Source organism: Homo sapiens, chromosome 4 (assembly GCF_000001405.40).
Source record: "Homo sapiens chromosome 4, GRCh38.p14 Primary Assembly".
NCBI lineage: Eukaryota > Metazoa > Chordata > Mammalia > Primates > Hominidae > Homo > Homo sapiens.
In genome coordinates, this window is record NC_000004.12 from 99,267,433 (window position 1) to 99,293,861 (window position 26,429).

Below are 26,429 nucleotides of genomic sequence, written 5' to 3' on the forward strand. Positions count from 1 at the left end.
AGCACTTGAAATCTGGACATTGTTTGCAAATTACCAATTTCAGATAATATCTTGATTAGATTAAATATTTCCCAATATATAAATTTTAATCTCTCTTTTTTTACTTGCTAGACTTTCTATGTGTCTTTCAGGCTCACTCAGGTCATTCACAGTTCTGTTTTTCCTTTGACTGGACTAAGCTCCAGCTTTGAATCCAAGTGGTGCAGTTAACAAGGAGGAGCAAGAAAGCAGGACAAATAAAGCAGAGAGCTAGTCACCAGAGGGATGTGTTTGATCCAGCACACCCCTTCTCTTCATAGCAGAGAATCGACACCCAATCAATCACAGCAAAGGTGCTCACTGTGCCTGACATTTCTATTCTACCTAAAATTAATCAGCATTGACTGAGCATCTCCCTAGGTCAGGTACTAAGCTGGGTCCAGTGGAGTGGCAGTTATAAGATATGACCTCTACCCATGCCAGAAGCAGTATGGGGCTGTGGTGATGGCATGACTTTTGGGACCTGGCAGACCCTATTCCTTACTAGTTCTGTGTGCTTGCACTTATTATTTCATTGTTTTTTTTTTTTTCCTTAGTTTCTTCATCTGTAAGATGAAGAGGAATAACAGCACCATTTTAAAGGACTGTTTAGTGAATAAATGAAATAATCCATTTAGAGTACTGATCACAGAGTTTAGCAGGTAGAAGCACCCTCCTAAATGTTAGCTACAATTATTATTCACAAAAGGAAGCTCACTGTCTCTGAAGAAAAGACACACAGGCAGTCAAGTCTACCTATCAGCCTGGCTGGGAAGTGTCCTATCACAGGGGTCAGTTAGTGCTTTAAGAGTAGAGACAGAGGTGCTATTTGGAATGAAGGACTTGGGGAGGCATGGTAGAGGAACAGGCATAAAACTTGTTTTGTCTTTCACAAAAACTGGATCATATAATACAAATTACTGTGTAGCTTGCTTTTTATAGTTAGTGATTTATGATATTAATACTGCCAGGTTTTAAGATATAATTTTTTTTTTAAGACAGGGTCTTTCTCTGTTGCCCAAGCTGGAGTGCAGTGCACAATCATGGCTCCGTGCAACCTCTGCTTCCTGGGATCCAGTGATTCTCCCACCTCAGCTTCCCAAATAGCTGGGACTACAGTCACATGCCACTATGCCTGGCTAATTTTGTACAGACGACTTTTTGCCATGCTGCCCAGGCTGGTCTTGAATTCCTGAGCTAAGTCAGTCCTCACACAGTGGCCTCCCAAAGTGATGGGATTACAGGCATGAGCCACCACACCCAGCCCCCTGTTTTTAAAGAAAGATCCACTTAGCATTCAAAATAGGGAGTTATCTTTCCATCAGTAGCTCTTTTAGGGCAGGCCTGGTGGTGACAAAATCTCTCAGCGTTGGCTTTTCTGTAAAGTATTTTATTTCTCCTTCACTTATGAAGCTTAGTTTGGCTGGATATGAAATTCTGGGTTGAAAATTCTTTTCTTTAAGAACGTTGAATATTGGCCCCCACTCTCTTCTGGCTTGTAGAGTTTCTGCCAAGAGATCAGCTGTTAGTCTGATGGGCTTCCCTTTGTGGGTAACCTGACCGTTCTCTCTGGCTGCACTTAACATTTTTTCCTTCATTTCAACTTTGGTGAATCTGACAATTATGTGTCTTGGAGTTGCTCTTCTCGAGGAGTATCTTTGTAGCATTCTCTGTATTTCCTGCATTTGAATGTTGGCCTGTCTTGCTAGGTTGGGGAAGTTCTCCTGGATAATATCCTGCAGCGTGTTTTCCAACTTGGTTCCATTCTCCCTGTCACTTTCAGGTACACCAATCAGATGTAGATTTGGTCTTTTCACATAGTCCCATATTTCTTGGAGGCTTTGTTCATTTCTTTTTACTCTTTTTTCATTAAACTTGTCTTCTCACTTCATTTCATTCATTTGATCTTCCATCACTGATACCCTTTCTTCCAGTTGATCAAATTGGCTACTGAAGCTTGTGCATGCGTCATGTAGTTCTCATGCCATGGGTTTCAGCTCCATCAGGTCATTTAAGGCCTTCTCTATAGTCTTTATTCTAGTTAGCCATTCATCTAATCTTTTTTCAAGGTTTTTAGCTTCTTTGTGATGGGTTCAAACATCCTCCTTTAGCTTGGAGAAATTTCTTGTTACAGATCATCTGAAACCTTCTTCTCTCAACTTGTCAAAGTCATTCTCCATCCAGCTTTGTTCCATTGCGGGTGAGGAGCTCTGTTCCTTTGGAGGAGAAGAGGCACTCTGATTTTTAGAATTTTCAGCTTTTCTGCTCTGGTTTCTCCCCATCTTTGTGGTTTTATCTACCTTTGGTCTTTTGTCATGGTGACATACAGATGGGGTTTTGGTGTGGATGTCCTTTCTGTCTGTTAGTTTTCCTTCTAACAGTAAGGACCCTCAGCTGCAGGTCTGTTGGACTTTGCCGGAGGTCCACTCCAGACCCTGTTTGCTTGGGTATCACCAGTGGAGGCTGCAGAACAGCGAATATTGCAGAACAGGAAAGTTGCTGCCTGATTCTTCCTCTGGAAGCTTCATCTCAGAGGGGCACATGGCTGTATGAGGTGTCAGTCGGCTCCTACTGGGAGGTGTCTCCCAGATAGGCTACTCAGGGGTCAGGTACCTACTTGAGGAGGCAGTCTCTCTGTTCTCAGATCTCAAACTCCATGCTGGGAGAACCACTACTCTCTTCAAAGCTATCAGACAGGGACGTTTAAGTCTGCAGAAGTTTCTGCTGCCTTTTGTTCAGCTATGCCCAGCCCCCAGAGGTGGAGTCTACAGAGTCAGGCAGGGCTCCTTGAGCTGCGTTGGGCTCCACCCAGTTCAAGCTCCCTGGCCACTTTGTTTACCTACTCAAGCCTCAGCAATGGCAGGTGCCCCTCCCCCAGCCTCGCTGCTGCCTTGCAGTTCGATCTCAGACTGTTGTGCTAGCAATGAGTGAGGCTCCGTTGGCATGGGACCCTCCAAGCCATGTGCGGGATATAATCTCCTGGTGTGCCATTTGCTAAGACCATTGGAAAAGCGCAGTATTAGGGTGGGAGTGTCCCGATTTTCCAGGTACCATCTGTCACAGCTTCCCTTGGCTAGGAAAGGGAATTCCCCAACCCCTTGTGCTTCCCTGGTGAGGCGATGCCCCACCCTGCTCCATGGGCTGCACCCACTGTCTGACAAGCCCCAGTGAGATGAACCCGGTACCTCAGTTGGAAATGCAGAAATCACCCATTTTCTGCGTCACTCACGCTGCGAGCTGTAGATTGGAGCTGTTCCTATTTGGCCATCTTGGAACCTCCTCCAGAAGTTTTTTAAAGTAATTAAAATCTCAATTATAGTACCTTTAAATTATTTCACAATTACATATACATGTTGGCAGCTCGAATCTTTCATTACAATTTTTTATAAGGTAAAAAAGTAATAAAATCATAAATCTCATCATAACTGACAATCTCGATTTCAGGTTTCTATAAATTGTTAAAGAATGTGATTGGCATTGTTGAAGAAATTATTAAATAAATTTGATTTTCCTGCCTCTATTCAAGACTTTCAAGAATAGTATGTAAAGAAATTACATAATGTTAGTTTGAAACAGTTATGGTTCAAAAATTAACTTTAGTTCTTCAACTCTTTTCAGATCCAGGTTTCTGAGGTGAACAGCCTGTTTTGTACATTTCTATATCTTTCTCTATGCTCATATCGACCTATATACCAATAAATAAGAATTTTAATTTGTTTCATTTTGTCTTTCACAAAATTGGATCATATAATACACATTATTCTTTACCTTGCTGTTTATACTTTCTAATGTATCATATTAATTTCTCTAGGTTTTAAGATATAATTTGTTTTTGCTTTTGTTTTTGACATGAGGACTTGCTTTGTTGCCCAAGCTGGAGTGCAGTGGTGCCATCATGGTTCACTGCAACCTGTGCCTTCTGGATGCCAGCAATCCTCCCGCTTCAGCCTCCCAAGTAGCTGGGACAACAGTTGGGTGCCACTATGCCTGGCTAATTTTTGTGTTTTTTTGTAGAGACAGGTTTTTGCCATGTTGCCCAGGCTGGTCTTGAACTCCCTAGCTCAAGGGATCCACCTGCCTTGGCTTTCCAAAGTGTTGGGATAATGGGCATGAGCCACCACGCCTGGCCCCCTGTTTTTTTTTTTTTAATAAGATCCACTTACCATTCAAAATAGGGAGTTATCATTCCTTATTCTGTCAATCAAACAGATAGTTTAAAAATTTTTGTTTCTTCTACAAGTAAGGCTGCGGTAAGTAGCCTTGTTTCTGTATCCTTTCACATAGATACTTATAATTATGGAGTTGATTCCCAAGTGTGATATTGCTTGGGACATGCATTTTGTAAATTTTAATAAATATCACAAATTTCTTGTCAGAAACCTAGGACAGTGCACATTTCTACCAACAGTGTAAGCTAATAGGTAAGCAGTAATATCTCATTTTGCTTTATTTTGTATTTTTTGACCACTACCAAGGCTCAATGGCATTTAATATGCTTTTTGGCCATTTTAATTTCTCCTCCTATGAATTTCCATCATTGTTCATTTTCTCTTTGAGTCGTCTATTTTTAAATAGAAAAGCATTAGGATTTGGCTGGGCATGGTGGCTCACGCTTGTAATCCCAGCACTTTGGGAGGCTGAGACAGGCAGATCATGAGGTCAGGAGATCGAGAGCATCCTGGCCAATATGGTGAAACCCCATCTCTACTAAAAATACAAAAAAATTAGCTGGGTGTGGTGGTGCACGACTGTAATCCCAGCTACTCAGGAGGCTGAGGCAGGACAATCACTTGAACCTGGGAGGTGGAGGTTGCAGTGAGCCGAGATTGTGCCATTGCACTCCAGCCTGGTGACAGAGTGAGACTCCATCTCAAAACAAAGAAACAAACAAACAAAAACACTAGGATTTTAGAAAGATCTTTTTTTGGTCAATCATATATGTGAAAATATTTTTTCCTTATCTATATTTTTAGTTTATGTGTTTATACCAAAATTTGAAAATTTTCTCCAAGCTCAGAATTTCATTTTAAATACTTTCATGATACTATTGAAGTCAATCCCCTACTTTATTTATTTATTTATTTATTTTTATTTTTTTGAGATGGAGTCTCACTCTCTCACCGAGGCTGGAGTGCAGTGGAATGATCTCAGCTCACTGCAACCTCCGCCTCCCAAGTTGGAGCGATTCTCCTGCCTCAGCCTCCCTAGTAGCTGGGACCACAGGTGTGTGCCACCATACCCAGCTAATTTTTATATTTTTAGTAGAGACGGGGTTTCACCATGTTGGCCAGGCTGGTCTCTAACTCCCAATATCAGGTGATACACCTGCCTCAGCCTCCCAAAGTGCTGGGATTACAGGGGTGAGCCACTGTGTATTTGTATTTATATATCATGAAAACTCAAAGAATCAAAGCAATATATTCTCACAACCATGCACATTTTCTCCCTGTCCTCTTCAGCCCTGTGTCTGTCACTCCCATAATCCTGTTTCAGCAACTATGAAGGCACTTCTGTGGAATACTTGATTACAGACCTATATATATATACACATTCACTTAACTTTATAAACCACTTGCCCCATAGTAAAAATTTCTTTACCTAATATTTGTTAAAGTCTTGAATAGAGGCAGGACAATCAAATTTCTTTAATAACTCTTTAAAGAATGTCAATTACATTCTTTAATAATTTATAGGAATTTGACATTGAGAGCTTCCTCATGAATTCTATTGTCATGTTGTGTTTGTATTCCACCAAAATTCACATGTTGAACTCTAATTCCCAATGTGATGGTATCTGGAGGTGGGGCTTTTGGGAGGTGATTCCACCCTCATGAATGGGGTTAGTGCCCTTATAAGAAGAGACACAAGGTGATCATTCAGTCAGTCATGTGAAGATACAGAGGGAAGGCGTCTGTCTACAGGCCAGGAAGTTGGCCTTCACCAGCCACCAGTTCTTTTGGCCCCTTGGTCTTGTACTCTCCAGCCTCCATAATGGTGAGAAATAAATGTCTGTTGTTTAAGCCACCCAGTCTGTTATGTTTAGTATAGCAGCCCAAACTTATTGAAACATGATGGTAGACAGAATTCTAAGCTGACTCCCAAGATTCCAGCTCCCTGGTATACATGCCTTATATGATCCCTTATGCTTAAATGAGTATGAAACCTTTGAATATGATGGGAAAGCCACTCCATGGATTAGGTTGTGTTACAGAACAAGTGCTGATGGAATAGTCACATTTGTGATTATCTGACATTATATAAGACTCTGTTGTGTTAGACTTGAGGGGTTTGTGAGTCAATATGTTGGGAGCATGAGAGGGTGTGCTGAGGGAGCCATGCTGAGATTGTTCCCAGGTTGACGGTCAGCAAGAAACCAGAAGCCTCAGTCCCACAGCTACTGGGAACTGAATTCTGGCAACAGCAATGTGAGCCAGAAAGAGGGCCCCAAGCTCCAGAAAGGAACACAGGCCAGCTAATACTGTTGACACTCCAGTTGGAGCAACTAGTTCAGCTCTTTCCAGATTTTTGACCTGTAGAAACTGTGAGAGAATAAATGGTGTTCATTCAAGCCAATAATTGTGTGGTAGTTTGTTACTCAGAAATAGAAAGCTAACATACGTGTGAAGAAATGTTTTATACAATTAACTCCCTTCAACTGTGTTTATTTTTTCAAGTACATTTCACAAATTTGGAGTAAACTTTTATGTGTACTCAAGGGAGATGTTTAGAAAGGGTTATCTTCGAAGAGACGCTTCAGAAAGGAGAGAGAATTTGGGGAACCTTTTCCATGATTTGAAGAAGACGGGTGAGTAGAGATGGGAATGTCACTTGGGATAAGATTTTGACTTGTAGGAAGGCATGGAAGAAACTGAAAATGTGATACTACATGCTAAAATTATTTAAAAATGAACAATTCAGTTTCAAATCGAAAAGATTATAGAATAGAAACAAGGTCTAGCATAATTTATGAAAGATTATGATGTATCATTTAAACATGGTATAATATAATTTAAAAAGTCCTATATACCAGATATTGCCTAAAATTATGTTTATTTCTACTCCGGATATGAACATTAAGGAGTTTTAAGTAGAAAATTTAACCAACAGTTATGGCAGTTATGAAAAGTTAACAAAGAGACTGTAAGAACTCCATTATTAATTGGCATCACATATCTTTGTTCCACAAAGATGACTAAGCATTGGTCCTGCAACAATTGTACCTCCCATTTTTAGCTCCAGACTGTATAAACAACTGCATTTGAAAATCCTAGAGGAACTTCAAACTCAAGTCCATTTTCCTACTTAACCATTGCTATGGCTTGAATGTCTTTCTCCTTCAAAACTCATGTTGAAATTTGGTTGCCATTGTAATAGTATTAAGAGGTGGAACAACTTAAGAAAGAAGTAGGCCAGGAGGCTCTACCATTATGGGTGGGGTTAATTACATTGCAAAAAGATGAATTCAGCCTCTTTTTGTTCTCTCTCTTATCTTCTACAATGTGATGATGTAGCAAGAAGCCTCTCAACACATGTTGGCACCTCCATATTGAAATTCCCAGCGTCCAGAACTGTGAACTAATAAATTTCTTCATTGTAAATCACCCAGTCTCAGTCTCAGGCATTCTGTTATAGCAGCACAAAACGGAATAAGTCAACCATCTTCACCACAAATACCTGATAATGTCTTGAGATCACAAGTTGGTGAAAGGACCAACCATCCACACCAAGTTGTCAGGCCAACATTTTGGAATTAGCCTCCTCCCTATCCCTTGTCTCTCTCTCTCTCTCTCTCTGTCTCTTTTTTTATCTGAGACGGAGTTTCGCTCTGTTGCCCAGGCTGGAGTGTGGTGGCGCGATTTTGGCTATTTTACTTTATATCTAAGGTCTTTCATAATATGAAATAGAATGTAGATATTGCAACAAGTAGCATTTTTGGAGACAGCTGTAACTCCTTTACCAGGAATAACCTTTGCATGTCACATTTAGAGATAAAGCTCAAAATGCAAATCTTTCCCCTGAGAGTGGGAAAGCATTAACAAATAGGCACCACAAGTCTTTACATATTCAAAATATTAAACTAATTCTAGGATTGTATACTTGATTTAAGACATGGTAGTTAATAGAAAAGTTCTAGACTGAAAACAATTTTGCAAAAATATACATTTGTATATGTGTGTATATATATGTCTATATGTCTATCTACTAGGAAAATATATTGCTTAAGGTGTTTGTGCCATTTCTTAGTTACCAATTTTACATTCTGTGTTCACAGCTTTTGCCATCCCATCTCTACACTTAAAGCCACCATATTATTTTGAATCACTTTATACCCATTTTCAATTATCTAAATAATCGTTTATAGCCATAAACTAATACTGTTTAGCCAATGAAGCACTTTCATGAGCAAAAATTATAGATTTTTTGAACATAATTCCAGGAATAGTTCAGTTTTTGCAATTAGTAATTGTACCTTAGTCATATGAAGCATGAAATCAGCTATTATTTTTAAAAATCAATTGTATATTGACCATAAAGACATAGTATAAATGTCAGAAAAACATTCTCCTTCACTGTAAGAAAACATGTGACATTTTATTTGAGTTCCTAAGAAATTTCCTGGATTTACAACTCTTGGACTTTCACCACTTGTAAATATGAGTATATCCTTTACCCTACTACAGCTTTTACCCTAGGAATTCGGTATATTTTATTAAAAAAAAAAAAAGGCGAAAATGCCGACAGTGAAAATTGAGATAGATGCAGGAGACTACAAGCACAATAGCCCAGCATGTGTATATTCAGGGCAAGTGAAGGGTCCCCTCCACTGGGATTCCATGACTAAAGATTATGAAGATACCAAAAATGCAGGAAGTCATAGGAAATAGCTTTTCTCAATGGCAAAGATGACACAAGTAGAATGGTTAAGAAGGAAGGTTTATTGGCTTCAATTCCCCAGCTGATGTTCAACACTTTATTTAGTTCTCATTTGGATTTTAAACATTTGCTTGAAAAATAATTTTACATCAATTTCCATTTCTTTGGAAAGCCCCCAAATGTAATTTATTGATAAAATCTGTGATGAGCAGAATTAATGATATTTCCCAGCTGTTGCTCCAGATCATGTAGGGTAGAGGAGGCTGAAGACTGCCACAAGGGAAAACATCTGTATTGTCTCAAAACATCAGAATGGTACGGATACTGCAATAGGAAAGAAGAGACATTGTATTAGCATTTAGACATGCTTCCATGTGAGAGTCCAAGGAGCATTTGAAATGACTTAGTGAAAATCTGTCTGTTCTCAGCCACTCTAATCCCACCCCCATGCATTCGGGTCAAGTGAAGTCAAAGGAAAGCTCATCTTTTTTGGTTTTCTCTTGTGTTTTCTTCAACTTTAAGCTCACTCACAACATTCTGAGTATGCCTGTCATTTAGACTTCAATACTACGTTAGCATCTTCAAAAAATCATTGTTGTGTGCCCACGTTCCTGTTATAATAAGGAATATAAAACAACAATGGATAATAACTTGTGATAAGTTTTTGCTATTTGTCACATTCTTCATGCATTTTCTGTCTTAAACTTCAACCTAAACATCAACACTAGGAGGTAGATTTTCATATTATTTTGATTTTAGAGATTATAAACACTGAGACTTAGAAAGATTTGTAACTTGGTCTGGTCGCATATCTAGTATAGAGTTTTGGGATTAAAACTCAAATACAAATTTGCACAAATTATAAGATGATAAATAACTTGCCTGAAAGAACTGATAATTTAACAAAGTTAAAACCATGCTGGAAGTTTAAAAGACCTTTGATACAGATATGTTTAAGGATTTTTAGAAGTAGAGAATAAAGTCGATTTGTATTAATTCTAAGATACTTCATTCTTGTGAAGATTACAAAAGGAACATTTACACTAGAACTAATGCCCTTTCTATAAACCAACTTCTCATGAATAAATATTTTTAGAAAATGATGGTCTTTGTGACTCTTTAATAATTTTTAAAATATATATGTATTTGCATATGCATATATAAGAAAAATATATGCACATAATTCAGAGAATACAAGACAGCAGAAAGAAGAAAGTAAAGGTAATCCATAATCCCCCAACCTAGAAACAATCATTCTCAATGTTTACTTGAATTTCTATCAACTTCTTACTAGGCATATGTACAAGTTTTACTGCTGTTGTTGAAAATGTGCGATATTGTATATAAAATTTATATTCTTTATTATATGAGCCTAAATTATATCATGAGAATTTCCCAATAATGTCATTTCTTTTTGATGGCTTCATTCATTTCTAATAGATGATTGGAATTTATTAAATCATTTTCCTCATGTTGAAATTTAGAATGTTTCTAATGTTTGATATTACAGAAACAAGTAAACATGCTGAAACACATATGTGTGTTTGAATAGTTGATTATTTCTGTAGAATAGATTTCTAGAAATGGAATTGCTGGAACAAAAGATCCATTTTTTTTAAGGGTTTCTGATACATATTACCAAATTGCTTTCCCAAAAGGATGTATCAATTACTACTGAAAGTACATGAAAGTGCCTAGTCACCTTAGTCTTACCAATATTGAGTGTTACAATTTTTAATCTTATTGATAGGATTAATTATATTTACATATGCATATTACTATATGACATTCTCATAAAGTGAATTTAGGCATGCTTCATGACTTCTTATGTTGCTCAACACTATCTTCTGGTTTTGTTCATCTCTATATTTGCCATCATCTTTTCAATCCTATGATGATGATGATGATCACGATGATGATGTCAATGATAATGATGACAATGATAACTAACCTTTGATGGCTACTGTGTTCCATATATCCATGCGCTCTTGAGGGGCGGTGTGGTTTAATAGAAGTGAGATATTTGCTAACAACAAGATCTACCTTTGAATTCTGGCTCTCCTTCCTACCATCTGATGATTTTGACCAAGTCATGCCTTCTCTGAGTCTCAGTTTTCTCTTCTCTAAGATAGTGAGATTGAGACTGACACCGAGCATTGCCTGGGAATCACATAAGATAATGCAGGTAAGACACTTAGTAGAACAGCTGGTGCTCTGTGGGTGCTAGTTTCTTTCCCTCCTCAAGAATGTTGTCGGTTAAAGTATCTACTATAATAATTTTGTGAGTGCCAAAGAAACACTATTAAAAGTTGAAAATCTCGTGAAAATAAGAATGGGATAGCAGAAAAGTCTCAGACTCTGGAGCTAGAAGGCAGAAGTTAGATATAACTGCCTGTTTCCAGTTGTGCCTCATGTAAATGCAGGTGACAAAATTCATTTTATTAGCTGGTTGTGAGAGTTAAGTGTTAGAGACAGGAAATAGAATTGGCTTAGTTTTCTAAGCTTCAGACAAAAAGTAAGCCAAACATTTACAATAGTGTTTAGTATACTTCTCTTTTATAATAACTTTTATTGATAAAAAAATTTTTGTAAACTGCAAAAGAAAAAAAAGGAAAAAGAAAAAACTAGTAATATCTACTTAGAAAACAAACTAAATATAGTTTCACATACTCCAATAATGAAAATGTTGAGGATGTCCTGAAAATTATTTAAATATACAGCCACCTAATGTCAGTTTTATATAGGTGGTAGGCAGAGGCTTCAATGACACCATGTTATAATTATGGTTATTTAAAAAGACTTTTTTTTTTTTGGCAAAGGTGATTGTTCTCTTTTAAAGAAGGCTGAGTGTCTCTGATCATTCGGATTTGCTGTAATCAACATAATTTGGCTTCAGCACAATAGGAAATGCAAAGCAACTGTTTTTAGCATCTCACAGAGGTTTTAAACTTCTCTTACAAGCTCTCCATGTAAAGACTGAACTGGTAATGGAAGAACCAAGGCACTCTAATTTTTCTCATCCTTCCACCTTTTCATTTTCTGCTAGACAATCCCCTATGGTAGAAAAAAAAGCAAAACAGAAAACTAACTAAAAAATCTACCTTTTCCCAGAGTGAAGCAGGTCAAATCCTTCATTTATTTTTTCAAAAGGTAAAACATGGGTTATTAATGCATCCAATGAAAACTTCTTAGCCATAAAATCAGCCACAAGTTTTGGGACACATTCTTTACTTTTAAAGCCTGAAAAGAAGATGGTATCATTGTTAGATTCAACCAGGGTAAGTAGGAGAATTGAAGAGAAGATTTTCCAAATAAATGAAAGTTTAGAAAAGATGCTGCTTCCAGACTGCAACGACTGAGGTTAATAAGAGATACAGTACCTCAATAAGCTTTTACAGGCTCAGACTTAAAAAAAAATCACAGATAAACAAGGGTCCCTGGTTATTCTCTCTCCCACAGAGAAATCATAGTACAGATGTTATGCCCAAAGGAACAAGTTTAACAGTTGTCTAAATTTGGGTGTAGATATGAAATATTGTTGTAGATTTCTGTGTCTTACTAGAAATTCCCATGCCTTACACAGTTACAAGTACGAAAACAGATGAAGAGGAACAGACTTTGTTAATGGTGGCATCAGAAATGTCGATTTTGGGACCTTCTGCCTGCATTAGTTCCATATCTAGTTGATTTGGAGACTGTAGATAGAAAAGGAATTTTAATTTGTTTTTGATCTGCTTTTCAAAACCTTGCCTTGTCACTTGTAAAAGGGGAGATATGCTGAGGTTAATGAGAATTTGGCTCTGAAGCCTAACTACATACCACCAAGAATAGCTCCCTTCCAGGTACGTCCAGTCAGTAGCAGCATAGGGTTCATTGAGAGGTTTTGGGAATCAGGAGGTACCCCTACGATGACACTTGTGCCACATGCCTCATGACAACATAACAGGGAAGCCATCTGGAATAAAGTGAACACTTAGCATTCTTAACATGGAGTCGCATAGTTCCTATTCATAATGCACAATATCATGTAATAGGCTTAACTGGATTGTGAGTGTGTAGAGGGAAGAGATTATGTCTTTTGCTCCTTCAGTCCCCTTTTTTGCACGGGATAGTGCTGTGGATTTAGGAAATGCCCAGAAAACGGTTTTTTAATGAAAGAATGGATGAATAAATTGGAGTGCACTTAATTTTTCCTAATAAAGGAATAAAGTGGTAGATATCATCACAAATATATATTAAGTCCAGTTCCTTATATAAGCATACAATTTCATCATCACATAATTCTTAGGCAATCTGTGAGTTGGTTAATTCATTTTTCATTGATTTATTACATAGGTATTTTGAACCCATTACTTTCAACCACATATTTTAATGGGAAACAAGATAAATGATTATATCACCAAAGTAGTCTCTTGTCCACTTGATGGTCTCCTTTTGTAATGGATTCCTGTTCTACTGTCCATTTCTCAAATGGACATGTTTTAAACATTGTTTTTATCTCCCCAAATATATATAGGTTTTACATTAAAATACCCTGATTATTAGGGAACCTCAAAAGACCGTTCAGAAAGTCTTTTCCAGTGAGCTTTCTGAACACGTTCTATAGTTAGAAAATGGTTTAGGATTGCCCCAAGATATGTAATGATTAGTTCTTTGATTTTGGATTCTGACCTTTGGGAGACCAGACATCCTCAGAACATGTGGCTGTCAGATATTTGGTATCTTGAGATAAGGTACACTCCCGTTCCACATGAGAAAATGGAGGAAGATACAGGAAAAGAACATTAGGAGAAAAGCTATAGCCCTGGAAAAAGTGGAATCTCTTGACACTTCATTCATCTGTGGCATTTGTCCCAGGGCAAGGCTGCTGAGAGCATTGATCTCAGGGTGCTGCTCCCCATTACCCACACTGCTGGACCTTCTAGAAAATCTTGGCAATGGAAACGTGTTGGTCTCTGGAGACTTTTTCAGTAGGATTCTAGAGAATTCTGGGTAGGTGAAATATAGCTAGAGATGTGTTTCCCATTGCCTTTGATATTTGTAACTGTTTGAAAGCAATATCATGTAATAAGCCAAAGATGATGTAAGTACTGCAAGATTGGAAATAGTATTTCATATCAATAACGCCAACTGAGGCCGGGCGTGGTAGCTCGTTCCTATATTCTCAGCATTTTTGGAGGGTGAGGTAGGAGATTTGCTTGAGCCCAGGAGGTTGAGGCTGTAGTGAGTTATAATTATGCCACTGTACTTCAGCCTAAGTGACAGAGTGAGACCCTGTCTCAAATAAAAAGAAGACATTTATTGGGAGCTTACCATATGACAGGCTGCACTGTGCTAAGTATATTACATGCATTGTCTCATGCAATCTATAAACAATGCCATGAGTATATAGCTTTGAAATTTGGGGGGTGATAAAAATCTGTTGACTTTTCAAAGTATTCAGTCCTACTAGTATTGGGCTCTAGTTTTGTGCCAGGTACTGTCCAGTTTCTGTGATAAAATATAGTAATGCATTTGAGCTTCACTTTCCTTAGGGCATGTTTTTGTTAATAAAACAATAGTTGGCCTAAAATTGCTTACTTCTTTTGGCCAAATACTAATATGTTTAAAAAAATTGGAATTTATTAAGAACATATGCAAAATTATTAAATCATTTTTGTTAAGAATGTGGCAGAAAAATAAAACATTCCAATTTGAGAACAGAACTTGTATTATTTATGTTTACTTTAACTTACAGTTTTTAACTAAAAATTAACAAAGTAATCTATTATCACTCAGTTAAGAAAAACAAGCCCTTTGCTTTTCCTCTAGAGGAAATATGACTTGAGACACGTTTGCATAGTTGATAGAATAAAAGATTCCTCATAACAATAAATTAAACAAGCCAGGTAACAAACAGATGATGGGAAATTTCCATTCATCATTAAAAATATCCTTTATACAGAAAACATATATTCTGCAGCCTAAATGCATCCTCCAAGTTGTAGAGGCAGAAATCTCAGGGCATGTCATGGTACATACCATGGTGTCAAGCCGACCGATGACTTCAAATGAAAAATCCACACCTCCATCAGTCATTTCCTTTAGCACCTCCTGGATGGGTTTCTTGTAGTCTTGAGGGTTGATGCATTCAGTGGCACCCAACTCTTTGGCCTTTGCAAATTTGTCCTTGTTGATGTCCACCGCAATGATTCTGGCTGCCCCAGCTGCTTTACAGCCCATAATAGCAGATAGGCCGACCCCTCCCAGGCCAAACACAGCACAGGTAGAGCCTGGGGTGACCTGTGTTTTCAGAAAATGCAAAAATGGATTATAAAAACTTTATAAAGTGCCATGCTTAGTGTTTATCAAAAGCTGCTCAAACTCTTCTGTTCAATCTGTTATCAAAACCTCTTTTGGCTTCAGTTGCTTTATTTTTAAATTCATGGAGTTGAACTAGTTGAGTGGTTCTCAAACTGCTGCATATTGGATTCATCTGGGCAGGTTTAAAAATATCCCACTGTCCAGGTCACAGCCCATGCCAATTAAATGAGAAGCTCTGCAGGTGGAACTTAGTCCCCAGGTGACTCCAATGGGAAGGTCAGGCTGGGAACCAGGCGACTGGATGATCTTTGAGATCCAGATGGCAGTGATTACAATCTTGAAGGGACTCTCGATTGCTGAAATCCCTTGATAGCCAGCTTCAGTAACTCATATATACACAAAGGCAATATTTGGAAAACAAAATAAGTGGAAAAGGCTACTCCAGGAGACTGAAAAATATTCCACTTAAACCCTCAGTAATGAACTCCTTGGTTCATTTATGTTCAGTAGTCATGACCAGTATATCCCTGCTTTAAAAAATACACTAGTGAATAACACAGTAATGAAACATTAGTCTATATTTTAATAATAAAATATATTGTTATGAGTATCCTCATCTTCTGTTCTTGGGTAGGCTCACTTAGATCACCTGTTAAAATAGACGAGGCAATTGAACAAGGGACTAAGAGCTAAAGTCACAGAAATTTGGAAAAGATGCCATCTACATTTTTTTAATTGGCCAGGGGATATTTATTAAACCTAGTCTCCCATAGTCCGCCTTCATTTTGCGTAACATGCTCTTCCTGTTCCAAATAATCTCATTCTTATATTCCCTTAAGGGTGTCTATTCATTCATTCATTCATTCATTCACCAAGTGGTATGCAATACTATGGGGGACAACACCATTTTCTAACTTACTTAGAAAAATACAAGGCTTGTGACTGTGATTTAAAAGTGCTAATAATTATGTATCATGATCTAAGATTCAGCAGGAGATTAGTAAAAGATATTTTAGTCTCAGCTCTCATATTAACCAGCAGTGAGACTTTGGGCAAATATCTTTATATCTCTGGGCCTCGGTTTCATAAAATAAAGCATACTACTAGATTTTCAGCCTACTCAGATAAGAAGCCTTTAAAGAATTTCTGCTTGAAATTTACCACTTCTGAATATATGTGTGTGTTCATGCCAGGGGAGTTAGTTTTAGCAGTGAAATGTCATAATGAGTGAATTACGCATCACTGAAGCGTCATTACTTTCAGTCTAAGAATCCACAGAGTGGGTGAGCCTTGGTTTGGAGGTGCATCAGGTAAGGTTTTGGACTCTACTGTTGTTGATCCTAATTCTGGGAGTAGAGGATCCACAGACTAGCTGCTCCTCAAGGGCAAACGCTTCATTTCATTTACTTTTGCTGTCAGAGCCTAGCAGAACCTATGGTGCCTGAAGCATGTGTAGGTGCTCTCTAATTGTAGAATGAATTACTAAATGAGTTCTCAGGCCTAATATTTCATGAGCTCATAAAGAGCAAATACAGAAGAGTAATTATTGAAAATGAAATCTTTACATTTTCTAAACTCTCAACAACTTTTTAATCTGATAAACAGGTGAAACTTCTAGCATGTGCTCTCAATTCTTTCTGGATTGTGTTTCTATTCTTAGTCGACATTCAAAATCTACAAAAATAATCTTCGATTCTTGTGAGACATTCCTTCCCTTTGGGTTCCTGACAGTCTGCGTGTAACTGTTTTTATCACCCATTGCCATTCTTACCTTGGCAACATTGACTGCAGACCCATAACCAGTTGAAAATCCACAGCCAATGAGACAGACTTTCTCTAGAGGCGAGGCTGCATCAATTTTGGCTACTGCATTTTCATCCACCACTGTGTACTGTGAGAAGGTGCTGATGCCAAGGAAGTGGTGGATGGGCTTCCTCCTGCAGGTGAACCTGCTGGTGCCATCCTGCAGGGTCCCCTGAGGATTGCTTACACTGGACAGTGCAATACAAAGACACACAAAGGCATGAGACAGGACCATAACTAATGTGCAAACTCAATGTCTGCGCAGGGAGAGCATCAGAAACCTACTCGTTTTTCAAGCAGTAGTTGCTCTCCGGGTTTTTACAAATTCTGCATTTTCCACACTGAGGAATAGCGAGTGGGATGACTTTATCACCTGGAGAGGGATAAAACAAATTCTTTTACAATTTCTATCCAGGTATTAATAGAGCAAAAACATAAAGCTCACATGTCTTTAAAACATTAGAAACATGTGTCTTTAAAAGTCTCCAAGAAATACAGTCCAATCACAAATATGTCATTTGTCATTGCCTGCCACAGCCTTGTTTCCAGTTTGGGTTTATAAGTGCCTGAAGATTCCTAAAGAGGACATGCAAATATGGGAAACAACATGGATTAGAAAAATTGCTTCCACTGTATTAACAGTTACTTTCATGTGGTGTACCAATTTCTCCTGGAGGCTTTACAAACATTTAATTTAATCCTTAACTATATAAATCTTACTGTAAGTATAAATATAAATTTTAGTTGAAAGTAGGGTATAATAGTTCCACTAGATGTTGGTAAGACCTGTTTTTTGTTATAGTTTGATTTACAATAAAAATGAGAATTTTGAACTAATTCTTTTCAAAGTAACTAGGTTTATCTTTATTATGAAATGAATGCTTTTAAAATGATCTCAGTTCTTTTTTTGAGGAAAACTATCAAAAATGGGACAAAGAACAATTCCAGAAATTCCTCTGGAAATTTCAACCCTCCACAATAAGTTAGGCACTTTTAGGATAAGAACTGACTTTGAAATGTTTTTAGCTGATAATTTGTGAATTATCTACTTTTCCTGTTACAGTGGAGGGAGCATGGGTAAAAAGTAAGGGTGTCATTTTGTTATTAACTTATTACTAACTAATTAGTTACTATTAGTATTATTTAGTAGTTATTATTAGTAGTTTAGTAGTTATTAGTTATTATTCAGTAGTTATTAATTTATTACTACTAAAGAAATTAGTAGGAGCTGAAACCCAAATTGGACAGTTCATTTTATTTTTCTGTTCACAGTTCAAATAAGTATTTGGTAAAGTGGCAGGTCCAATCTAGTGCCTAAAGTGATTTTTTAGACTGTAATCCCAGCACTTTGGGAGGCCGAGGCAGGCAGATCACGAGGTCAGGAGATCGAGACCATCCTGGCTAATATGGTGAAACCCTGTCTCTACTAAAAACAGAAAAAATTAGCTGGGTGTGGTGGCGGGCACCTGTGGCCCCAGATACCCGGTAGGCTGAGGCAGGAGAATGGCGTGAACCCGGGAGGTGGAGGTTGCAGTGAGCTGAGATCGCGCCACTGCACTCCAGCCTGGGCGACAGAGCGAGACTCCGTCTCAAAAAAAAAAAAAAAAAAAAGTGATTTTTTTAGAATTAAACATAATTTTTATTTTAAATTACCTATGCTGTCTATTCCACAAGACCAAGAAAAATGGTTGGCCCATAACATTTTATAGGTAAAATTTATGTGAAAATGATAGTATGGAAGTGTCCTAGTTATTCTCCCTTTATAATTAGTAATCCGTAACCAGTTACATTTAAGCATGGCTGAAAGTAATAAGGCAGACATTGTTGATGGTGGATGGCTCTTTCTATGTTTCTTTCATTTCCTTTCACCTAGTCTGCTTCATTGATTCCTTGCTCAGGAAGAGAGACCACGTTGCAAGAGGAAATTGGTGAAGGGGCTGCATAGGTCACCTAAGAAAAGGTCATGCTCATTCAGCCGTAGCCATGTAGCGTCCATTTTGTGAACTCAGCACAGAACAATGTCCATACTTATGTTTTTTCCCTCCTCCCATTTCTAGGTGTCTGGGCCCTGACAGAAGACCGTGTTCACCAACACTAACACGGAAGTTACTAGATTATGAATGCCACACTAGTAGGCACTGTGTCCCTTTTGATCCTCACATATCTCCAGGCTCCAACCTGGTGACTGGCATCTAGCAGATGCTCAGTACATAATTGTTGAAGGGTAGAATACATGCGTGCCTAAAGACATACATGCTTGAGTCAGGCAGGAAGAGAGGGAAAGAGGAAATCCCTGAAGTCCTGGCTGCGCGGTGACCTTGGTCAAGCCCTTTCGTCCCTCTTTGCCTCTGTTTCCTCATTCAGGCTGGGAAATCTTAGGATGGTGAACCATCATGTTTCCTGAATGTGAATCCTGTACCTGGTTTGACTGTAGTCACCCCTTCTCCAACACTCTCCACGATGCCGGCTGCCTCATGGCCTAAAATCACAGGAAGTGGGGTCACCATGGTACCACTAACCACGTGGTCATCTGTGCCACAGATTCCTACAGCCACCATCTACAGAGTGAAGAGAAGATGTTTATAAAAGATTGTGAGTCTCAGGTGAATTTAAAAATCCCAGTTCCCTGAAATTGCGCTTCCAAAATGTTTTCAAGGGTTTTGCTAATAATCCCTACTATCCCAAGTATGAAAGATTCAGTTTATCCTCAAGGTTGACCAGGCTGAAACCCTCCTCTACCTTCCATTCTTGAAGTAAACAGTTTAGAATAATCTGTGAAGTAACTGATCCTGAAATAGTTAAGTCTTAAATAATATAAAAGAATGCATGCCTTTAAAAAATAGAAGTAGAAGTTGCAAATTAATACATAAAAATATCTAATGCTAATTGATTTTGAAGTCTTGATATATATCACTTTGAAATTTTCTTTCTGTACAAACACATAAATTCTTTTGTATTTTACTGGAATTACACTGTGTGCACTTTTTTAAAATTTAAAAATTTATATTTATACCTTTCCTTGACAACAAGTATATTCTATTTTCTGGATGATCATATAAAAATTTGGTTGTTTCCGTTTTTTAACTTTTCTGAGTTTTTAAAACTTAAATACAAATGGAAAAATGTATTTCACCTTAATACGAACTTCATGGGCCTTAGGAGGTGCAACCTCCACCTCCTCAATGGAAAAGGGTTTCTTTAACTCCCATAGCACAGCTGCTTTGCATTTGATTACCTAGAAAAGCAAACAGAGAGATGGCACCAGTGTTCTCCCACGCTTGCAGTCAGATATTGTGTCATTTCATCTTTGTACATACAACATCTAATCCCATGTCTGGTACCTAACAAGTGCTCTATAGAAATGATCACCTCTGATTTATAAAGAGAAAAAAATATATTTTAAAAAAGCAATAACATAAGGAAAGATAAACAGTTAACTATAACAACACACTGAGATAAAATGGAATATATTCATTAAGGCCATCCTTATGTTGTTGTTGTTTTTCTCCAAAGTTGTTTAATCCTGACATTTCCTAATGCTATGCTGAAAATGTCTCTTCACCCACAATTATTGGCTGGTACATCAAATTCTAAGTCACCTTCATTTTGCTGACAGAGTCAGTGTCTGTTCACATAAAATACACTGTTTTCTTTCTCAATTTTCTGCTTAGGCCAAAAGGATCTGAGTTTATAAGGATATATTTACCTTCCTGCCTGGGATGACATCTCTTTCTCTCTCTTTTCCTATTCTCCTCTTTTAATTTTCTCTCTCCACCACTTCTGTGTGTTACTTGTTCCAACACCCATTTGCAACTTAGCTTTGAGAGGCTGTACTGTTATCTGATCTATGTGTAGAGACTCCTTCCAGCTTTGATTTGAGCCCCAAATTACAAAGGTTAGAGTTGGGTGTGTGTGTGTGTGTGTGTGTATGTGTGTGTGTGTATACACTCAGACCTACACATACATATTTCAAAATTGGAGACACTGTGTGTTTGAATTTCTAGCTAGCAGATCTTATCCATAGATGTTCTTAAAAATAAAAGATGTACACATAATTTCCAGTGCTTGGCAGTGAACTGTAATATCTGTCTTCATTGTGGTTAAGCATGTACAATTCACAAAACTCTTTCCAGAGAGAATCAACAAAATTGCAATTATGATAAAAATTCAATTGAAATTTGTTCTTCTGATAATTCGTTGTCATTATTTATTTGTCAAATTATTCAACTTTGCAGGATGTTCAACATGATCAATGCCAAATAAATATCAGAATACTTGGAAGTAAAGTACTAATAGTAGGAGTTCCTGATTATCAGGTGCCTATGATGTGACAGGCACATTGTGGCCTGTGCTCGGTGAGTTATTTGCATTATATTTATTTATAAAATTTATTTTTAATTTCAATAGTTTTTGGGGTGCAGGTGTTTTCTGGTTACCTGGGTAAGTTCTTTAGTGGTGATTTCTGAGATTTTGGTGCACCCTTCACTCAAGCAGTGTACATTGCACCCAATATGTAGTCTTTTATCCCTCACCTCCCCTTTCAACCTTCCCCCTCGAGTTCCCAAAGTTCATGATATCATTCTCATGCCTTTGCATCCTCATAGCCTAACTCTCTCTTATAAATGAGAACATATGATGTTTGGTTCTCCATTTCTGAATTACTTAGAATAATGGTCTCCAGCTCCATCCAAGTTGCTGCAAAGGCCATTATTTTATTTTATTCTGTTTAATGGCTGAGTAGTATTCCATGGTATATGCACACCATATTTTCTTTATCTACTCGTTTGTCGATGGGCATTTAGGTCAGTTCTGTATTTTGTAATTGCAAATTGTGCTGCTATAAACAACATGCATTATTTTAAAATCTCATAAGGATGCTACCAGGACAGTACTATTGAATTATTGGCTTTATTTTACAGCTGAAATAATTGAGGATCCATTGACTCAGTGATTAACTAATTTCTCTAAAGTCTCAAAGCTGGCTTTCCAGAGAATAAAGATGAATCTAGCCTTATGTTTTCACTACTCGGTGTCAGTAAAAAGTTAGCAAAAAGTTAAATAGCAACAATAATAATAGTGGCTAATAGTTATTGACTTATTTCTACATCCCAAATACAATTTTAAGTTCTTTATAGTATTCATTTATTGAATTATCACAACACAACTACTTTATGAAATAGATGTTAGTATTGTCACTATTTAGCATTTGAGGAAAATATAATGCAGGATGTATAAACATAAATGAAATGCTGACAACAAACTAAGTTATTGATGTTGTGCCCAAGAGGGGAGGCAATTGTCTATTTCATCAGTTATTATTTTCATTAATATGATTGGTTTATACTTTTGCTGTAGGAACTCATTATTTCTTTTAAGTTGAGTTTGGTAAATTTAATTTTTTTGCTAATTGTTTTCTATGTGGAATGTACATATTAATCAGTAATGAATGAAAGTAAAGTGAGGTGGAATAAGAACAGTAACAATGGGCCACCCATGTGATTTCCAACCAGTCTTATTGATATGAACCTGTTTTGTCACAGAGTGTATAGAGAAGCCTCAGAGCCTTTAAACTGAGTTATCATAGTGAGATATTTTACTGTGTAATACACTCCTAACACAAAAAAGGACTGGAAATAGTTGCACAAATTTTTGTAATTAGGCAATTAAAATATCAATTGATTATATTGTATTACCACATGTATTTTTGTGCACCTATAAACACATTGAACAATTAAGATATTTATGGAAGGCAAAACCAAATATCTGTGTTCCTAGTGCTAATAAGTGATTCAAATTGTATTATTAATTTTCTGTAAAACCATATTGACTTTTATATGGGGAAGATACTGTTCCATAGGATTACTCTGGAAATTGCCTGAATTGTGTCCTACTAGACCCTTTTAAATCAGAATTTGAATGTTGATGTTGTCTTGATTAACCTTGATGATTCTAATGCTGTGAGACCAATGAGCATTTTGTAAACTATTTTATGTTAAGGTTAAAAGGGTATTTCAAAGTCTTCTAAATCAAATCCTCTCATAAAACTTTCATCAGACTTAACTTTCTTGTATTCACAAAAAATATAAATACAAATAGTAATACATTTAAATTATGGTACCTTAATATAAAGAAAACTTCTTGATGAAAGACATTTCTAACTTTGGCTTTACAAATTAATCATGATTAGCTTGGAATAAATTATCGCTTTACCGCAAATGTCTTTAATGTGGGAAATAAACACTTCATAGATACAGATTCTATACATTCTTTTTGAAGGTATTTAGGAATAGCTTATTTCCACTGTAGTTCAGTATACATTACATATTATAGCATATATTGCATATCATATTTCAGTGTATCATTTCTAATTTAGATATGAATTTTAAATGATTCATCAAATACTGTATTACTTTCTTTGTTATATTGATGAGAATATAGTTCCAACAGTAATATATTTTTTGCTTACTTTTCCTGCTGTGCTCATGTTGATTCTGTCTTCTCTGCAGACCAGGAGACTGGTGAGTCCTTGTGGATTTCTTCCCTGCTCAAGTGCATAAAGCAGGTGTATTGCATAGGTATTTATTTATTTTTTTTGCTTGAATAACACCCGATTCCAGTTCCACACATGATCTAGGTCTTTAAGCCACACCCATTAGATTATTCACAGACTGTCAAATCATAAAGAAGAGGGCAATGAACCAGCAATCAATACATTGATTTTTCCAATTTCAAATAAGATTTTGTTTTCATTAGGTTAAATATTAAGTTAAAGTGATAAAGCTTAATCATTTTCTCTTCTCCTCACTTTATTCCTCATCTGTCAAATTTCTTGTTTCTCCTCTCTTAGTCCCACAGTGGTCATTCAAAGTTCTGTTTTCCCTTTATCTGCATTAAGCTCCAGCTTTGAATCCAAACGGTGCAGTTAGGAAGGAGGAAGAGCAAAGAAGCCGGGCAAATAAAGATGACAGCCAGGAGCCAGAGGAATGTGTTTGGCTCAGGACTCCCCTTCTCTTCATAGAGAATCAGATACTCAATCACAGCAAAGGTGCTCACCCTGCTAAGCATTTTTGCTCCACCTCAAACCAATCAGCATTGACTGAGCCCCTCTGTGTGTCAGGCACTAAGCTGGGTCCAGTGGATGGCAGTGATAAATAAGACATTACCTCTATCTGTACCAGAGGCAGTATGGGGCAAAGGTGATGGCATGCTTTTTGGGACCTGGCAGACCCTATTCCTTACTAGCTCTGTGTACTGGCACTTATTATTTCACTTTTTTTTTTGCCTTAGTTTGTTTACCTGTAAGATGAAGAAGAATAATACCATTTTAAATGACTGTTTAGTGAATATAGCACCATTTTAAAGGACTGTTTAGTGAATATAGCACCATTTTAAAGGACTGTTTAGTGAATAAATGATATAATCTATGTAAAGCACTCATCATAGAGTTTAACAGGTAGGAGCACCCTACTAAATGCTAGCTACAATTATTATTCATAAAAGGAAGCTCACAGTCTATGGGGAAAAGATACACAGGCAGCCAAGTCTACATATCAGCCTGGCTGGGAAGTGCGCTATCACAGGGATCAGTTAGTGCTTTGGGGACAGAGACAGAGGTACTATTCAGAATGAAGGCCTCAGGGGAGGCATTATAGATGAACAGGTATTTGAGGTAGATTTTAAATAATTGTGGGAAATTCAGACAAATCCTCACTGGATCATTTCTATTGCCCTTTGATCAATGTAACTAGTCTACACATGGCTGTCCAAGATTATGAGTTTAATTTTTCTTTTATCCACACTTGGAGGCATTGCACAGGCAGCTGTTTAATCAGATGCAGTCTGTCAACATGAACATGTCAACATAAAGGACATATCTCTCTAGAATTGTAAAGGGAACATTTCAGTAAGCTTTAACTACGTAGGCACTGAGACTCACACCAAGACTGAGAAACATTCACCCAATAGAGAAGCAAGGAAGGTCCTACGATTTCAGTTGCTTCTGAAATGTATCAAGGTAAGAATATAGCCCCAGATCTGATGTTCAGCATTCAAGGCTTCGTAATATGGCTTCAACCTTCTCATCTATCTACTCCTCCCCATTCTCCAATACAGGGCGTATGTGCTTTAGAAGCTTGTATCTCCCTGGTCCCCCAAAGAGGAATCTATTTAACATTCAAGCCCTTGCTCATCATGCTCTTTCTCTTCTTTTCTGTCCCTCTGGCCCATTCAAATCCTACCCAAAATTTGAGATGCAGGACAAGGTCACCCTCGTGGAGGTATATTAACTCCATCTCACTGTTGTGCTTTATGTCTCTGCATCCCTGTCATGCTAGCATCTCTCCTGTGGTTTTGGGTCTGTTCCCTTTTGTCGCCCTCTATATTTAGTGTAGAGATCAGTCTCCTAATTTCTACTGGAAATTTCTAGTCAGGGATGTTCTTAAATTTCATTTATATCATCAACTATACCTAGCTCCATGTATACTGTAGGTGTTTAATGAGTGATTGTTGAATTCTTATGCTCATTTATGTTAGGACAGGCACTGTTCTATGAGCAGTCCCATAATCCAGAAGATCCGATGTCTCCTCTTTAAGGGTTTACAGATTAGCAGTGGGATTGGCTGTGGTCAGGTAGACAAGACAGAGAACCCTCCTGTGAAGCAGGAAGTGGTCGTGCCAGGAGAAGAGTTCAACGTGGAATTCAAAGGAGGAAGATCCTACTCCATCTTTTCATTATGGATTCTCAGCTCTTAACTCAATGTCTGGCACAGAGTGAGTGCTCAGATATTTGTTGATTAAATTAAAGAAATGACTTCTACTTTTAGGGTGAGGAAACCTTGAAAGAAAGGTATTTTATTAAGATGTATCAAGAAAAGTGGGTCATCAGGAGGCAAAATGGAGGAGGATAGGAGGCAGGACTAACTTGCACCTGCTACTTGGATGAACAGAGCAGTTCATGGAGACCCACATTGTGAACTTTTGCTCCAAGAACTACTGCAGGGACATACCAGGAAAGCAGAGAGAATCCACAGACCCTTTGAAGGCGGTGGACTGCTGCTCCAGCCTCTGTGGGACAGCAGAAGAAACGTGAGCCAGCTTGCTTTCTCAGTTGCGGGGCTTATAGCCTGGGGCAATTTCTCAGCTCTGCTCACCAGCTGACTGGAAGGAAATAAACACATTTTTGTTGAGGGCTCATGGTGGGAGTGAGACCGGCCCTCAGACTCTGGGCTGCATGGGAGCTGTGTGAGGCCTGTGGCTGCCAGCTTTCCCCCACTCCCCTGATGACCTGTGTGACACGGCAGAGACAGCTGTAATCCCACTGGGAACATAACTCCATTGGCCTGGGAACTACACCCTCATCTCCCAAATCAGCCACAGCAAGCCCTGACCAAGGAGAGTCTAAGCTCAGACATGTCTAGCCCTGCCCCTAGTTG

At 37.8% G+C, this 26,429-nt stretch overlaps 1 protein-coding gene and 1 long non-coding RNA gene across 2 annotated transcripts in view, besides 6 other annotated features; one reads left to right on the top strand and one right to left on the bottom strand.

The window, feature by feature from the left end:
* The window catches only part of LOC100507053 (uncharacterized), a 212,500-nt gene that overhangs the window by 178,576 nt on the left and 7,495 nt on the right, over positions 1-26,429 (top strand). Inside the window, exons 5-7 of the long non-coding RNA NR_037884.1 lie at positions 19,363-19,601; positions 21,234-21,353; positions 23,505-23,516. This is a non-coding gene — a long non-coding RNA (uncharacterized LOC100507053). The remainder of the gene's footprint in view (positions 1-19,362; positions 19,602-21,233; positions 21,354-23,504; positions 23,517-26,429) is intronic.
* Positions 8,937-23,553, bottom strand: ADH1A (alcohol dehydrogenase 1A (class I), alpha polypeptide). The gene is made up of 9 exons (NM_000667.4): positions 23,465-23,553; positions 20,132-20,233; positions 19,418-19,556; positions 17,284-17,371; positions 16,967-17,186; positions 14,914-15,174; positions 12,712-12,847; positions 11,994-12,132; positions 8,937-9,216 (listed from the first exon to the last, which is right to left on the bottom strand). The coding sequence occupies exons 1-9, from the start codon at positions 23,480-23,482 to the stop codon at positions 9,192-9,194; spliced, it is 1,128 nt and encodes a 375-aa protein (NP_000658.1). The 5' UTR covers positions 23,483-23,553; the 3' UTR covers positions 8,937-9,191.
* Positions 18,835-20,034: an enhancer, noted in NCBI's record as "MED14-independent group 3 enhancer chr4:100207424-100208623 (GRCh37/hg19 assembly coordinates)". NCBI's record gives its function as "activates an origin of replication core promoter dependent on BRD2, BRD4, P300/CBP and CDK7 cofactors, and independent of MED14, by STARR-seq in HCT116 cells {active_cell/tissue: HCT116}" and the evidence as "EXISTENCE:reporter gene assay evidence [ECO:0000049][PMID:35650434]".
* Positions 23,499-24,715: a promoter, noted in NCBI's record as "-1163/+55 promoter". NCBI's record gives the evidence for it as "EXISTENCE:reporter gene assay evidence [ECO:0000049][PMID:2169444]".
* Positions 23,563-23,574: a protein binding site, noted in NCBI's record as "C/EBP footprint". NCBI's record gives the evidence for it as "EXISTENCE:protein binding evidence [ECO:0000024][PMID:2050667]".
* Positions 23,575-23,586: a TATA box. NCBI's record gives the evidence for it as "COORDINATES:motif similarity evidence [ECO:0000028][PMID:2050667]".
* Positions 23,588-23,607: a protein binding site, noted in NCBI's record as "C/EBP footprint". NCBI's record gives the evidence for it as "EXISTENCE:protein binding evidence [ECO:0000024][PMID:2050667]".
* Positions 23,670-23,707: a protein binding site, noted in NCBI's record as "FXR site". NCBI's record gives the evidence for it as "EXISTENCE:protein binding evidence [ECO:0000024][PMID:23772048]".